The sequence below is a fragment of the Homo sapiens genome, chromosome 1, assembly GCF_000001405.40.
Source record: "Homo sapiens chromosome 1, GRCh38.p14 Primary Assembly".
NCBI lineage: Eukaryota > Metazoa > Chordata > Mammalia > Primates > Hominidae > Homo > Homo sapiens.
Window position 1 is genome coordinate 34,709,336 of NC_000001.11, and position 15,292 is coordinate 34,724,627.

The following is a 15,292-nucleotide window of genomic DNA, read 5'->3' on the forward strand; positions in this document are numbered from 1 at the left end:
CAAACAGTCCTGATTAGGACTGACAGTGATCTTCCAATTCAAGAGATAAGGCCATTCTAGAAGAAGAATATAATGGAAAGATAGAAAAACTTGGACCCTCAATGAATTCATTGAACCATTGGATCAAGCCATCCAGAAGGTCAACCTGTCCCCTTCTTTTATATGAGCCAATAAATTTCCTTATTGTTTAAGACATTTTGAGTGGGGTTTTCTGCCATGTACAGCCACGAGCATCCTAACTGACACAGATATGTTGAATGGAGCTGAGGTGACCCAAGAAGTCAAGTGGGAGAAACAGGTCTGATGTCATCAGGCAGAATTTAAACTGAGAAAGTAGATGAGACTGACTCAAGAAAGCACGTACAGCGTGGAGGGGAAAGCAGTGCAGGGCCAAGGCCAGGACCCTGGAGAGCGCTAGTGTTGGTAGGCATAAATTGCTCTACAGAAGAAACGGAATAGGAAAGAGAAGATGGTCTAGATGTGGGGTGGAGACTCAAAGAATATTGCCATGGAAGTGGGGAGAGAAGAGAAAGAAGGGAAGAAATGAGAGAGGGGGATGGGTCGACTGCTGAATGAAGGAGAACACTATAGAAAGAGATGTTGACAGGGAGAGGGGTAGGAGGAATATTAATTAAGGTGCAGGACAAGCTGCTGTACCAATGAGACCCATAAATCCAGTGGTTTGAATAAAATAGAAGTTTATTTCTCTCCCACACAACAGGCCAGAGGGAGAGAGTGTCAAGAGCAGTTGCGGGCAGTTCTTTTCCTCAAGGTCTCAAGAGTTCTTCTGTCTGGTTGCTTGGCCATCCCATAGGATCTTGCCTTTGTCCATACAGCCACAGCAGCTCATCTCCAGCACTTCCAGTTCCACCTCATTGAAAGGAGGAAACAGACAATGTTCACTGCAAATAACTTCCATATAAGGATGTGCTCTGGAAATTGCACACATCGTTTTAGCAAGAACTGAGTAGACATCCACATCCAGCTGCAGGGAGTCTGGGAACTGTGGTCCTGAGCTAAATGATCATGTTCTTCCCTAAAATTCATGGCTCCTTGACTAAAAGGAAGGAGAGAATGGGCATTTGGGGACACTTAACAAGCTCGGCCACTAGGTTCTAGGAAGTTGTGGTAGGTGTTGTGCAGGTGACAGCACCCTCTACTCAGGTTGATCAACTAGGCTTATCCACATTAATTCCATGACCCAATCAAATGGATAATCTTAGAAGATCCTGAAGAATTTCAGGCTCTCGATTCACAATACTTCAGCTGCCACCTGCTTGCCCACTCAGGATCCGGCCTCGCAGCCCAGTTAATGCTGCGTGATTTGCTGGCTGTGTCCAACCCCCTTTGCTCCCTGCTTCCTGGCCAGTCAGCTTAGCCCTGGAAATGCACACCAGAACCAAGCCTAAAGGAGGAAATCATCACATTCAGATGCCTTGCATTATGTAGGTCATGATTCCCTTTCTTATTTTTAACCTCTCCCTAACCACTGATTTCCTTCTCAAAATGCTTTCCTTTGGCCTGGCTTCCACTTAAAGCTATCTCTCTTTTTTTCCTCTCTCCTTCCCTTAACCAACATAATCACTGACTTGTTCCCAAACCTTCTGCAAGCTGGCATCTGCCCCATCACTCAGATAAAACTGTCACTGAGGTCATTAAATTTAATGGGCTCTTCCCAGCCCTCTTCCTCCTCCACCTGGCTGGATCTCATTAGACACAATTGACCACCCCTTCCTAGAACCTTTACCTCCCTTTGCTGCTATGATGCACCACTACACACCTGCCCCCCAGCTGCTCCCTCCTTCCCTACCTCCCAGTCCTGGTCTGTGTCTTTCTTTCTGTGACTCCTCAAGAAACAAAGACCAAGGCAATACCTAAGCAGGAACAATCATCCTGTTAGCCTGGGTTAGTGGAAAAGACATAACCTGAGCTCAAATCTGGATTTGCCACTTACTTGCTGTGTGACTTTAGCAAGTTACTTAGTATCTCTGAGCCCATTTCCCCCAGGGAAAAATAGGGATAAGAATGCCCTTCTTTCAGGCTTGTGTTATCAGGCTAGACAACTGCCTAATAAACAACCCCCAAAACCTTAGTGGCTTAACAAATGTAACATTACCATCCAATGAAGTTGAGCAGGGGCAGGGAAATACCACACAAGATTATAGGGCAATTGGGTCCAGTGGCCCTACATTCCCTAGGGATCAGAATCCTCCACTAGATTTCTGTTTCCACGGCCTACAAAAAAAAAAAGAGTAAATGAGTATGTGTAGAAGATTGTTCGTGATATTTAGGGGGGGCCGGGCAGCCACAAAAGTGGCATATATTACTCCTACCCACATTCCATTGACCAGCACTCAGTCACATGATTCAACCTTACAGCAAGGCATGCTGGGAAATGTAGTTCCAGGAAGAAAAAAGATTTGATGAACACATAGTATCCTGTCTACCATATGGTTGCTGTGAAAATGGAAATAATAGAACTAAATCCTGTGGCATTTCTGGAACAGAGTAGGTGTTGAATGAATAGTCGCCATTAATAAGAAAAAAATTAGAATTTTTTTTTTTAATGTTTGCCAACTTTCCCAAGTGCAGACATCAGCTGAGATAAATAAGAAGACAAAGGGAGCAGAGACAAAGAGAGAAACAACTGTTGTAAACAGGAATGAAAGTGCAGGCCAGGTTTGGGGAAGCAGGGATAAGCACAGAAGCAGGCAGAGAGTGGGCAGAGGGCTCACCGGGAATTGAGCACCATGGTACTCAGCACAGCCTCTGCTTTCCCGGCCAGCCCTGGCTCCCACCTGAGCCAGAAGGGGCTTAGAAAGATCTGAGTTTCCTTGGAAACCATTTTTCTGGCCCTCTCTGCACGTTATCAGCCAAGTTGGTTGTAATCAAACCCCCACGGGGCAGAGAATGAGCTCTCAAACTGCAGTCCTGGGGTTCTATCCAAATTGCTTGCATTTCCTATTTAAATTGGTAATTTCCCCATGAGTGTACCCCCTGCCCATCCACAGATTTGTTGGGAAGGGGAAGCTCTGGACGTACTACCCACCCCCCACCATCACCTCCTGCCCCTGACACAGCACAGGGGCCTTGGGAGTGCCTCCAAACAGCCCGGAGTCCTCTGCCAAAGCTGAAGGCCTCTGGCAAGCCCAGGCCTCCAGAACAGCCAGGTCAGAAGCTCCTCCCTCAGGCCCCCCTGTCCCACTAAAGACAATGGCCTGGACATGAGCAGGAGAGGAGGAGGACCTACACAGGCCACAGTAGGCGAGTCCTGAATAGTTGGCATCATTGCCAGACTAAATGTGGGGGTGTGGACTTCCTCTTGTACCTTTTGCAGGTACACCCTTTCCAAAGTGAAGGGTGGGGACTGGGCCAAGGCACCAGATAATCTTTTTCTTTTCTTTTTTTTTTTTTTTTTTTGTTTGTTTGTTGTTTGTTCGTTTGTTTTTGAGACCAAGTGTCACTCTGTCACCCAGGCTGGAGTGCAGTGGTGCAATCTCGACTCACTTCAGCCTCTGTCTCCTGGATTCAAGTGATTCTCCTGCCTCAGCCTCCCAAGTAGCTGGGATTACAGGCACGTGCCAGTACACCTGGCTAATTTTTTTATTTTTAGTAGAGATGGGGTCTCACCATGTTGGCCTGGTCTCAAACTCCTGACTTCAAATGATCTGCCCGCCTCGGCCTCCCAAAATGCTGGGATTACAGGCATGAGCCACCACGCCTGGCCAGATAATCTTGAAGTACTGACAGCCAAGGCTGCAGGACTAGGGAACAGCTGGGGAAGTCTCAGAATGTTAGGCAGAAAGATCCCAGAAGTTCAGAGGGGCACTCACCTTGACTCCCTCTGTCACAAGCCAGCCCTGACCACAGTGTAACTACAAAAAGGGAGAGTGGGCCCATGTCCCCTTTCCTTTCAGAATGGGCAGAAGATTCACATCAGACATGGTCAAATACTCCCAGACACACACTTAGCCATATTATACACATGTACACGTGCATACATACATATTAGAGAGGTTTGTGCGTGTGCGTAGACACATACCTGTGTACTTGAGGACATGCAATGTCATTCATACTGATCCCCCTCCTAGCATCCCAGCAATGTTCATGATGTATCTGGGCATATTCACAAACACGCTTCAGAACTGGGCTGAGAACTCAGTGCACGCCTGCACGGGACAGCCTCAAGGAACATATGTGCATGCTGACACAAGTCCAGCTGGCCGTCCTGGCATGATCACTGACTGACACATGTACTCAGACACACACATATAAGACTGAGGAAAAGGCAGAACCAGGCTGGGAGATGGACCCTGCTTTGCAGGTGGCTAAGTAGGGAGCAGCGTGTATTCCAAATTACTAGACAGCTCCAAGGAGATGAGGCCAAATTGGGTCTAATCCGAGGCTGCATCTGGAGTCCAGTCTGGACAGTAATTCATGTAGTGTCTTCATGGGTGGGGTTAGGGCCTTCATGGGGGAAGTAGGCTCCCAGACTGCAGTGGAAAACACAGACCAGGAGCAGCCCGTGGAAGAGGCCTTACTCCCAAAGGGGAAGCTGGATGTCAGGTTCTTATCCCAGTGCAGAAGACTAGGTAAAATCAGGAACCAGCCACTGGCCTGGGAACCTACAGTGAGGGGAGAGACCAGGCTGATGGGCTCTGGGTGTCCATAGCTCCCCAGCTCTCAGATCCTGTATTCAGGGAGACACAACTGGTACCAGGCCCACCCTCTGCCATGCTGGCTCCCCTCTCAGAGCCAGGCTAGGTCAGGAAGAGCTCAGGGACTTGGTAGGCAGAGCCTGGTGGCAGAGGACTATCAGTATCTATAGCAGAAGGGACTGAGGAAAGACAGGTCAGACACCCCAACTCCTGAGCCAGCCAGAACCTAGAATCTATTGTTCCCGCTGTTGCCAGGAAAACAACTGGAAGACTCAATCTCCACCTCCAGAACCTGCCTTCAGCCCCCTACCTCCACCCCAGCTGTAAGGGTCTTGGTCAGTCATATTCTGAGTTCAAGAGTCCTTCATCTCCCTTCCCACTGCAGTGAAGCCAGGAGCTGGGCTGTGCAACTGAGAGGAGTGGGGAGCAGGTATTCGGTTCTGATGCCCAGAGTGGCTGTCCCCACCATTTCTCCTTCTGCCCCAGCACTGAAAAGAATCCTGCAGAGCTTCACAGCCTGTCTGCTCCTTTCTAAACAGACAGGTGTAAGAGAGCTGAGAACTCCAGTGAAGCAGGCACAGCCAGCTGTCTGCAGCTGCAGCTTTCCACATTTCCTAGCAGAGTCAGCTGCGGAAGGAGAGACAGGAAGGGTGAAATTTCTAATCACTTGGAGTTTCCCTACCACCCAGCAGCTCTCTCTCTCTCTCTCCTTCCCTCCCTCCCTTCGTGTATGCTGCTCTGTATGTCTGGTGTCCTTCTACCTCCTTGTCTCCTGGAAGACTCTTATTTAACTTTCAAAACCCTGTTCAGGTATCCCCACTGCTTTGAAATCTTTCCCTAGCACTCCCTCTGTTTGACTAATTATTTACTCCTTTCTCCAGGCTACCTGCATTTATAGCTTGTGTTGTGATTATCTGTTCATACCAGGATAATCAGGGATGCCTGGGATGCCGGGATGCCTGACTTCTCCACTTGACTGTGAGCTCCTTGAAGGTAGGAGCTTGGTGACACTTGTCTCTGTACCCCAGCACCACTACAGGGTTTCAGAGAACACGTCGAGGAGAAGGAGTGTGATATAGCAGTTAAAAGCATGGGCTCTGGAATAAGCCAGACCTGAGTTTGAACCCCAGGTCTGCCTCTTCTAGCTGTGGGAGTTGGACATATTGTTTCAGCTCTCTAAGCCTCAGTTGTTCCAAATATGACATGGGAAGAATAGTAATGACTGTCTCATGGATTGTCATGAGTAATCAATGATACAATGAATATGGAGAGGTTAGCCCAGTACTGGGCACATTAATAGCCTTTCTTATCATCCCACCAGCATCTGGGCTGTCGATTCTATGTTGAGTCATCATAGTGACTCCATATAGCCCGTACCCCTGGAAATCTCACCAGCAAATGAATAATGACAATCAACAATGATGAGTTCCATGACAAAACTCTGGGGCCCTGGGAGCCTAGAGAAGGAACCACTAACTTCAGTGGCCATGCGATCTAGTGGTTAAGTGTATTGGCTTTGGTGTCAGGAAGTTCCAAGTTCAAATCCTAGCTGAGACTCTAACTAGCTGTGTGAACTTAGGTTAAGTTATTTAAACACTCAGAAACTCTGAAATGTGATGGAAATTTAATAACACAAAGATATAAATAATACAAATTTGACAAAAAATCAAATTTGTCAGGGGATAAGCAAGGAAGACTTCCCAGAAAACGTGACGTCAGGCCTTAATGAATGAATAGAAGTTTTCTAGGTGAAGAGTGGAAGCGAGGGCTTTTCCAGCAGGAGCAGCACTTTCAAAAGCTGGTGAATCCAAAGGACAATGAGATGTTTAATGATCCCAGATCCCGTGTATGAGGGGGAAGTGTCTGAAGAAGGCCCACAAAGAGAGACAAGGGCCTTGCTCAGTGGTTCCTGGCATACACTTCCAACGACCTCTGAGTCCCTCTTCTGGAATGTGCCTGGTACATACTTAGAGGCTCAATAAATATTTGTAGGAAAAACAAATAAATAAGTGGCAGTGTCTCCTGCACCCTGTTCTCCTTGCTCTACCCGCCCACCCAGTCACTCGTCTCCCATTGATCCCTGGGACTCTAAGGAGCACAGGCCAAAATGATTGCAATTCACTTCCTCCTAGTTAAGCTCCATGGCCAAGAAACTTGCACCAAAGCTAAACCCACCAATGGGCCTGATATCAGAACGACTCCTGAGCTCTGCAGCTCGCAGAATAGAAATGTATTCCTTCTGATCCCTATCCAGTCTCCCGATAAGCCCAGCATGCCACATCTTAATATTCCTCCTGCTAAGGTGCCCGAAGTTCTCTCAGATGTCTGCTTCTAGCCTGCTAGTCTTTGAACTTGAGACATTCTAAACACCCAGTAGTTGACTTCATAATTCGGTGAGACTTGAAAGCAGCCCAGGCAGCGGTCAGCCAGGTCTCCCATGCAGAAAATCCGGATGGCCTGGGTTTGCTCCTCTCCAGGGATCCTCTCCAGGGATGGCTGCTGGAATCAAAGAGTTTGGGATCACAGCAAATTCATTTGCAGCCACAGCAGAATCCTGTTAGGAGGCTGTCCTGGGGATAGGAGGCAGGGGATGGGAGAGAACTCACCTATGTCTCTATCAGAAGAGGAGTCCTTGGATATTTAATAATCAGCTCTGCTTGGCTTAGCACTATCAGAGCCTGGAATCAGGCTTCTATCACAAGGTCCCATGGCCTCAGTACAATACTAGAGATAGGCCAACTCTCCTGCCCTCTGGCAGAGAACAAATTCCTGCTGTTCAAGCTTTCATCAGTCCCTACTGCCCCTGTGCCCTGCCATGACCCTGCTTTGGCTCCTGGAAAGATGGAGGTGCTACAGGAGGGCCCCAGTTTCCCTCCTCTCCACAACTCCCCACATCCTCACCTCCATCTCAGAGAGAGGAAGGGCCCCTCCTTTCATCCAAGCCCAAGCCTACAGCTGAGTTCCCACGCCCTCTGCATCCTCGAGGATCTGCACATAAAACCTCTCCCTTGACCTCCAGCAACAAACAGGCTCCAGGTGCCTCCAGGCTAAAGGTGGCCTTCCCAGGATGGAATTAGATCTGGATTCAAGTTCAGGCTCCATCACCTACCAGCTGTATTCACCTTGAGCCAGTCATTCCATCTCTGTATTTCAGCCTCTACATCTGTGAAGTGGAAATAACAGCCACTAACTCAGACGAAGGGTCACTGTGAAATGAGATGCTGATGCCTGGCAAGGCTTAGCACGCTGCCTGCCCCTTCATCACTCAAGGAAATTTAGTCATTAGTATAAATATGCGCTCACTGTCCCATCAAGCTAGTGGCCTACCTCTCTTTCCTACACTACCAGGCTTCTTTATTTTTTTAATTTTACTTTAAGTTCTGGGATACATGTGCTGAACGTGCAGGTTTGTTACATACGTATACATGTGCCATGGTGGTTTGCTGTACCCGTCATCAACCCATCATCTAGGTTTTAAGTCCCACATGCATTACGTATTTGTCCTAATGCTCTCCCTTCCCTTCTCCCCACCCCCCGACAGGCCCCAGTATGTGATGTTCCCCTCCCTGTGTCCATTTGTTCTCATTGTTCACCTCCCACTTATGAGTGAGAACACGCAGTGTTTGGTTTTCTGTTCCTGTGTTAGTTTGCTGAGAATGATGGTTTCCAGCTTCATCCATGTCCCTGCAAAGGACATGAACTCATTCTTTTTTATGGCTGCATAGTATTCCAAGTTGTATATGTGCCACATTTTCTTTATCCAGTGTATCATTGATGGGCTACCAGGCTTCTTATGAAGCACTCACCCCTCCTTAGCCCATTTCAAACTGGACCCTGACCTCATGCCTCTCACCCAGTCACCAGTGAGCTCAATAACCTAATTCCATGGCTTCCCCCCTCCCCAGCTTCCAACTAAGGCATTCAGTGCTGATGCCCGCCTGTTTTTTAACTCAAATTCCCTCCTCAGGCCTTCACAGCTCACTCTCCTGGTTCTTCTCTCTTTAGGAACATGCCCTCTTCACATCCTTTTCAGTCCTAGATCAATTCCTACACACTAGAATCACCTAGGGAGCTTCAAACGACAAATGTGCAGCCACGCCCTCCAGCAAGTCTCAATGTGTTGGTCTTTGGGAGGCCCGAGCATTCTGAAGTGCGGCTGGGTTTGAGAACTGCAGCCCTGAATGGAAAAGATGCCCTTGGCCTTTGTGTTCCTTAAGATTATGTTCTGCCATACAGGAAAAAAAAAACAAACAAAAAAAGTAATAGTGGCTTACATAAGACAGATGTTCATGTGTCTTGCAGGTATGGAATCTGGAGGTCCAGATTAGTTCGGCAGCTCCACAGTCATCAGGAACCCAGGTTTCTACTGCCTCGTGGCACAAAACGGCTGCTGGAGCCTCACAGCCTCATTCCAGCCTGCAGGAAGGAAAAGGGAGCACGGAGGGACAAAGGTAGGTGAGAACCACTCTCCCACACTTCCCACTACTCACAACTTAACACATAGCCACACCCAGCTCTGTGGGTGGATGAGAAGCAGAATCTTCATTCCAATGGCTGTGTCTAGCTAAAACTCAGGTATTCTGAACACTGAGGAAGAAGAAGAGAGCAGTCTCTGCCGTGGCCTCTTCTCTCTTTGCACTCTACCACGTGGGACTTCTAAGACCTCAACCACTCCACCTGAGTATTTCCCCTCCCCACCCCACTCCACAGGCTCCTCAAATGCATTATTTCCCAAACTGAACTCATCTGACTAGGTCCCATGAGGCAGCAAGGATTTTGAGATTACTGATCTAGACGGAGTCCTGGCTTTAACACTCAAGCAACCATGGGTACTTGATGCCTTGATGGACTTCAGTTTCCTTATCTGTGAAATAAGATAAGAACTATATTTTATTCTTGGGAAGATGAAATGATTGGCTTACATATAAACATCTGGTAGAGTGCCTTGTGTATAGCAGGAGCTCAATACATATTGGTTTCCTTTTCTTCCTTTTTTCTTTCCTAGTCTAGAGAAACCATTTCCTTTCTTTATGCTGTGCCACCCCCTCTCCCAAACTGATTATATATTGCCATCAGGCCTTGTGGACAAGACTCCCAGATGTGGCACTAACCATATATTTCTTTGTTAAGAACATATGTAAAATGCGGGGATGGAGAGTGAGAAAAGAAGAGGGAGAAATTACCTTTACAAAAAAGGAGCTAACCAACCCGGATAGTACGGGAATCTTTCCCCCATGTGCTCTGCACCTCCTCTTTCAGGGGAAATATCTTTTCTCTCCTTCACTCTTGTGTGATTTTTTTATTATGACTCGTGGCTATAGGTTGGAGGACAGATGCAGTGTTGGTCAAAACCAAAAGTATGGTCAATCACACAATTCTCCAGTTTTGGACTGATGCAATTCCCCAATTGTAGACTGACCCTAGGCCCTGGTCACACATCAGCCTAGACCCCAGTCACAGGAAGATGGAACCTTCCTACAGCTTTGCTACCCAAAGTGCAGGACCCAGCAGCATCTGAATCACCTGGAAGCTTGTTAGACATGAAGAATCCCAGGCCCCACCTGAGAAGCAGTACATTGAAGTCTGCACTAATGTCTTTAAAAAGACATTGTGTGTCTTGTGTATAGATAGAACCATGCCCCATTTGCACCTCCAGATTTTATCTCCTCTTCCTCCAGGAGAGAAATAATTCGACACAAATGGAGGATTTTTTTCATTGCATCTCTCTTTTCCTCTCCCTTGCTTTCCCCAGGAACTGAGCATTTATTATACAAGGTAACCCCTGGTGTCCTCAGCAGCACTCCAAGATCCTATCCTCTCCTTACTCCAGCCATAACTTACTCCATCACTGAGCCAGTTTCCTGCAATGGTCCTGCCTGGCAATGGGCACAGTTGTGGAATCTTTTAATGCTATATCCTTACTTGAATGATATGTTGCAAGTGTATTGAGCACGTTGGAAAGGAAGTGTGTAAAACACCTAGAAGAGGACCTAAAACATAGAAGACAGCCAATAAGTGGCAGCTGTTATTACCAGCTGTGTGACCTTGACCATCACTACATGTATCAGAGCCTCAGCTTCATCACCAGTTCCCGACACCTACCATGACGCAGAGCTGGTCTCATGTTGTGACTTCAATCTGATTCTCAGTTCAGTGGAAGGAGAAATCATCAAACAGGATTGGCCCGTGAAAAGAGGAGATTACAGGCAGGGAGATGAGCCCAGATACAAGAACAGGTAAATCCAGAATATATTTGAGCAGTTAGGAGGAAACCAGTTGGCAGCATCAGGACACATGCAGGAGAGAAATGGATGAGGCAGACAGAAGGATGCTGGAGACCAATGGTGGGCCTTGAAGGCCAAACTAAGAAGTTTGGATTTTATGCTGAAAGTGAAAGGGAACCGATGGGGGTTTTAGATGTGAAGTTGAAGGATGGCACAAAGTGCAGAAAGAGGACTACGCTAGGGCACTGGAGTGGTGATAGAATAAACATGGCCAATTGGATGAGAGAAGGAGGAAGATGGAGAATGAATCTGACAATGACTATGATGACATCAGTGACAGACAAAGCAGCCCAGAGATGGAACTGTTTGCAAGTGGAAAGTTAACATTTTTGTATTAGAACTCCATTCCTTCATCCAATCAATATGTCTTGAGTATCTGTGTTAAGCACTGCATGGGACTCTGGTTATATTATGGTTTGCCAAACAGACATAGTTCTTGCCCTTATGGGAGGTATGCCTTGGTGAGAGGAAGATACCAAGAGACATCCAGGAGACAATTCAGAGAATAGTCAGGGCTGGATACGGCTTGGGGGCCATCTCCCAAATGCCCCAGACACATTTCAGAAAGTGTCAAGAGCTGGAAAAATTATGAGAAGCTTTCTTCAAGGCTCAGACTTCAACCCTTCGTTTCCCACAATACCCAGCCAAGGCCAAGGTCCCTCTGCAGGGCTTTTTTCCAAGGTGACCGTGGGAGGGACAGCTCCCTTGGAGATGGATACCTGGCCCAATGTTCAGGGGCTCTGGCTTCTTGATTACCTGCTGGAGGGGAGTCTTGTGATTGCAGTCATCTGATTAGGGATTCCTGCATTCATCGGAGCTGAGCAGAGACACACGCCAAAGAATCTGGGCCAGGTGGAGTAGTTCTTAGCTATCTGGTGATACAGGTGAGGTGTTTCTTCAGCACTGCCCCACGGATTCCCAGGCCTTCACGCCCATGCATCCCTCTTTCCACTGCACTTTCTGTTCCCCTAAATGCCTCGGGAGCTCCCACTGTGCCAACTGACAGCAACTTTCTTCACCCTCCTAAACTCAGACTTTTATCTCCTCTCTACACTCCCTCTAGCCTCTGCCTTCCAGCTGCCCAGACTCACTGCACACATACACACACTCCTGGCCCCTGTAAGCCCAATTAAGCAAACGAATCCACAGTTAATTTAATACTGAGCACTTAGCAGAAGGATACATCACTGGTGGTAGATTGCGTGAGTGATACTGTGGAATTACATTTTTGTGTGCTTCAATTGTGTGGGTACACTTTAAAATTCACTGTGGCTTTTCCGTGGTCAATGGGTAATAGATATAAAATTCAAAGAATAATATAACTAGTATAAATGACACAGAAGTTTGAGGCTGTAGCTCTCTTTTTCTGAGATAGGGTTGTTAGAACTGCTGTCTCCTGGTACTCATTCCTTGGGCAGGAAGCAATTCCCAGGTAACAGCACCCCAGCGTAGAAAGATGATCTTCTCCATTACCATCTGCTCTGTGATGTGGTTTCCAGGAATACACTGTGTGGGGTGGTGGGGGGACTCCCTTTCTTCCAAAACCTACTCACTGGTGATTTTGTCAGCCTGGACCAAAAGCCTTAAAAATATGCATTTTCTTTGACTCTACAATTCTACTTTCGGAAACAAGTTCTAAGGAAAACGTATGTGCAAGGATGTTTGTGAAGCACCATTTAAAATAGCTACACATAAAAATGGAAAGAACCGAGATGCAATATACACACAGTGCAATTCTATGCAGGTTATTTACCCAATGTCTCTCAGCTCACATCTACCCTTTTGTATTCTGCTCTTGCTGAGGCCAGGACTCTGAACACAACCCTTCCCAGACTCCAGGACCAGCTGGCTTCCTGTTAGGTTCCCACAACGAAAGGCACTCGAGGAAGATTGGAAGGCAAGATGAGGAGAGAAGGGACTTGGTTCCTGTTTCTTCCTTTCCTGCCAGCATCACTCCAGCAGCAGCAGTTGGCTCCAGCCCCTACTTTCTTGATGTACTCCCAAACCCAGCCTCACCACAATCCTTCCATATACCAATAGCAGCCACATACCATTCCTAGGTCTCAGCACCAGCTCTGCAGGACCGCAGGACCCATACTCTGAGCTCCTAGGTCCTGGTTCCCAAACTTCTTTTATTCCTCTAGCCCTCAGGTTGGTACCTGCTTCCTGCAGTTATTATCTCTGAGTTACCTCTGTGTTCCCTTTTGGCCCTATCAGCTCTCCAACATCTATGTAGGCAATTTCCTGTATTAAAGTCACTCTGTTTGAAATACCTTGTGTGGTGTCTGGTTTTCTGAGTTCTGGCTAATATAGATGTCATTTCACCCCAATTGGGTGGAAAAAATTTATAAATGTAACAATATCAAAGTTTGGTTGAGACTCAAAGAAATTGGAAATTTTATACATTTCTGATGGGATTGTAAATTTACAACCATTTTAGAAAACAACTGGGCAGGCAATAACTAGTAAAATCAAATTGCATACCCTGCAGTTCTGGTCCTGTGTATGAACACTAAAGAAACCCTTACAGATTACTGAGAAAGAGAGCATCATTCCTTATTTTTTCTAACGAAGGAAATGAATGATTCAATTGTGGTACACTCATATAAGGGAATACTACTACATCGTGGTTAAAAATGAATAAATGAAAGTTACCTACAGCAACATGGATAAAACCGAGAAGCATAATTTTGAGTAAAGAAAGTATCCTGCAAAAGGTTGTGTACAGTATGGTGTCGTTTACATATACGTTTAAACATACAAAGCAATACTATATATTGTTAATGAATATACTTGAATATAGTAAAAGTGCACACCATAAATGGCAAGTTAAATTATTTAGAAGCACTAGCTCTAGATGATGGTGACTCAGGAGTCAGGAAAGAAAATGGAATCAGATAAGGAGGAATCAAAGGAAGCCTCTTTCTTTCCTTTCTTCCTTCCTTCCTTCCTTCCTTCTTTCTTTCTTTCTTTCCTTCCTTCCCTCCCTTCCCCTTCCTTCCTTCCTTCCTTCCTTCCTTTCTTTCTTTCTTTCTTTCTTCTTTCTTTCTTTCTTTCTTTCTTGACAGAGTCTTGCTCTGTCACCCAGGCTGGAGTACAGTGGCATGATCTTGGCTCACTGCAACCTCCACCTCCTGGGTTCAAGCGATTCTCCTGTCTCCTGTCTCCTGAGTAGCTGGGATTACAGGTGCCTGCCACCATGCCCAGCCTGGCTTTATTTCTTAAGCTTGGTGGTAAGTACTATTAAAATGAGGGTCTGGAAAGCAAGGGCTTAGAGAAAGGAAGAAAGAAATAAGAATCTATGTTTAAAAGAATGGAAAAAGTGGGAGCCAGTTGGCATATCATGCCTAGATGTCTAATAAAATTATTATGTAAAAATATGATTTATCGACATGAAGAGGTGTTAACAATATATTAAGTAAAAATTAAGGATACAACATAGTATGTATTTCATTACCCCTTTTTTATAAGATACAACGTGTGTGTGTTGTGTGTGTGTGTGTGAGTGTGTGTGTGGGGGAAAAAATGGCTGGAAAAGAATATACCAAAATGGTAAGAGCATTTACCTCTGGGTAAGAGGGTTACAGGGGATTTTTATTTACTTCTTTATAGTTATCTGTATTTTCTATTGTTTCTAAAACAAATATGAACTTCTTATATAATGAATTCTTAAAGGAATTTTAAGAATTTACTTTGAGAATTTCTTCCCTTATCTGAGGCTATTATCTCAACATCCCACTGAGAGGTTTCCTAAAGTGTGGTACATAAGATGATTTTAGGTGGTTTAATGCAGATTAAACATGTTTTATTTTCACAAATACATGTGTACTTTAATGTATTTTACAAAAATAATTTAGCACATCAAACTCACCATTCAAAATGATAGTCAGTTTTTTTTAATGGAATGACTGAAGTGCAGGGGAAAGAGATTGTCTTCTCAATAAATGGTGCTGGGTCTGTGGGATATCTGTATGGAAAAAATGAAAATCAGACCCCTACCTTAACATACACAAAAGTCTGTTCCAAGTATCCTCACGTTAAAGATAGAACAAAAAAGCTTCTAGATCATAAACATAAGAGGATCTTACGCCTTTGGGGTTAGAGTTACTTAAATGGAACAAAAAATTATTAATTATATAGAAAAAGATGGATAAACCAGACTATTTAAAAATTAAGAACTTCTGTTTATCAAAGGACACCACTGAGAGAGTAAAATAAAAACCACAAAATAGAAGACTATTGCAATATTTGTAATCAACATTAGACACACAACTAGAACGTATAAAGAAGCCCTACAAACCAGTTGTAAAAAGGCAGATATAATGCAAATGAAAAATTACCCAAAGACAT

General features: G+C 45.6%; 1 long non-coding RNA gene across 6 annotated transcripts, besides 2 other annotated features; it reads right to left on the reverse strand.

Annotated features, from left to right (window-relative positions):
- Positions 331-490: a silencer, noted in NCBI's record as "fragment chr1:35175267-35175426 (GRCh37/hg19 assembly coordinates)". NCBI's record gives its function as "represses an EF-1alpha promoter that drives an FKBP-Casp9 reporter gene in an ReSE screen in HepG2 liver carcinoma cells {active_cell/tissue: HepG2}" and the evidence as "EXISTENCE:reporter gene assay evidence [ECO:0000049][PMID:32094911]".
- Positions 682-14,921, reverse strand: LOC105378642 (uncharacterized). Of its 6 annotated transcripts, XR_007065731.1 has the most exons (6): positions 14,814-14,921; positions 11,699-11,814; positions 8,933-9,074; positions 2,117-2,235; positions 1,811-1,874; positions 682-871 (listed from the first exon to the last, which is right to left on the reverse strand). It is a non-coding gene; the product is annotated as an uncharacterized LOC105378642 (long non-coding RNA). The 6 variants fall into 6 exon arrangements; XR_007065726.1 differs by lacking the exon at positions 1,811-1,874; XR_007065729.1 differs by having other exon boundaries at positions 682-1,874.
- Positions 8,565-9,764: an enhancer, noted in NCBI's record as "CDK7 strongly-dependent group 2 enhancer chr1:35183501-35184700 (GRCh37/hg19 assembly coordinates)". NCBI's record gives its function as "activates an origin of replication core promoter dependent on BRD2, BRD4, P300/CBP, MED14 and CDK7 cofactors, with strong dependence on CDK7, by STARR-seq in HCT116 cells {active_cell/tissue: HCT116}" and the evidence as "EXISTENCE:reporter gene assay evidence [ECO:0000049][PMID:35650434]".
- Positions 14,922-15,292: the final 371 nt, after the last annotated feature.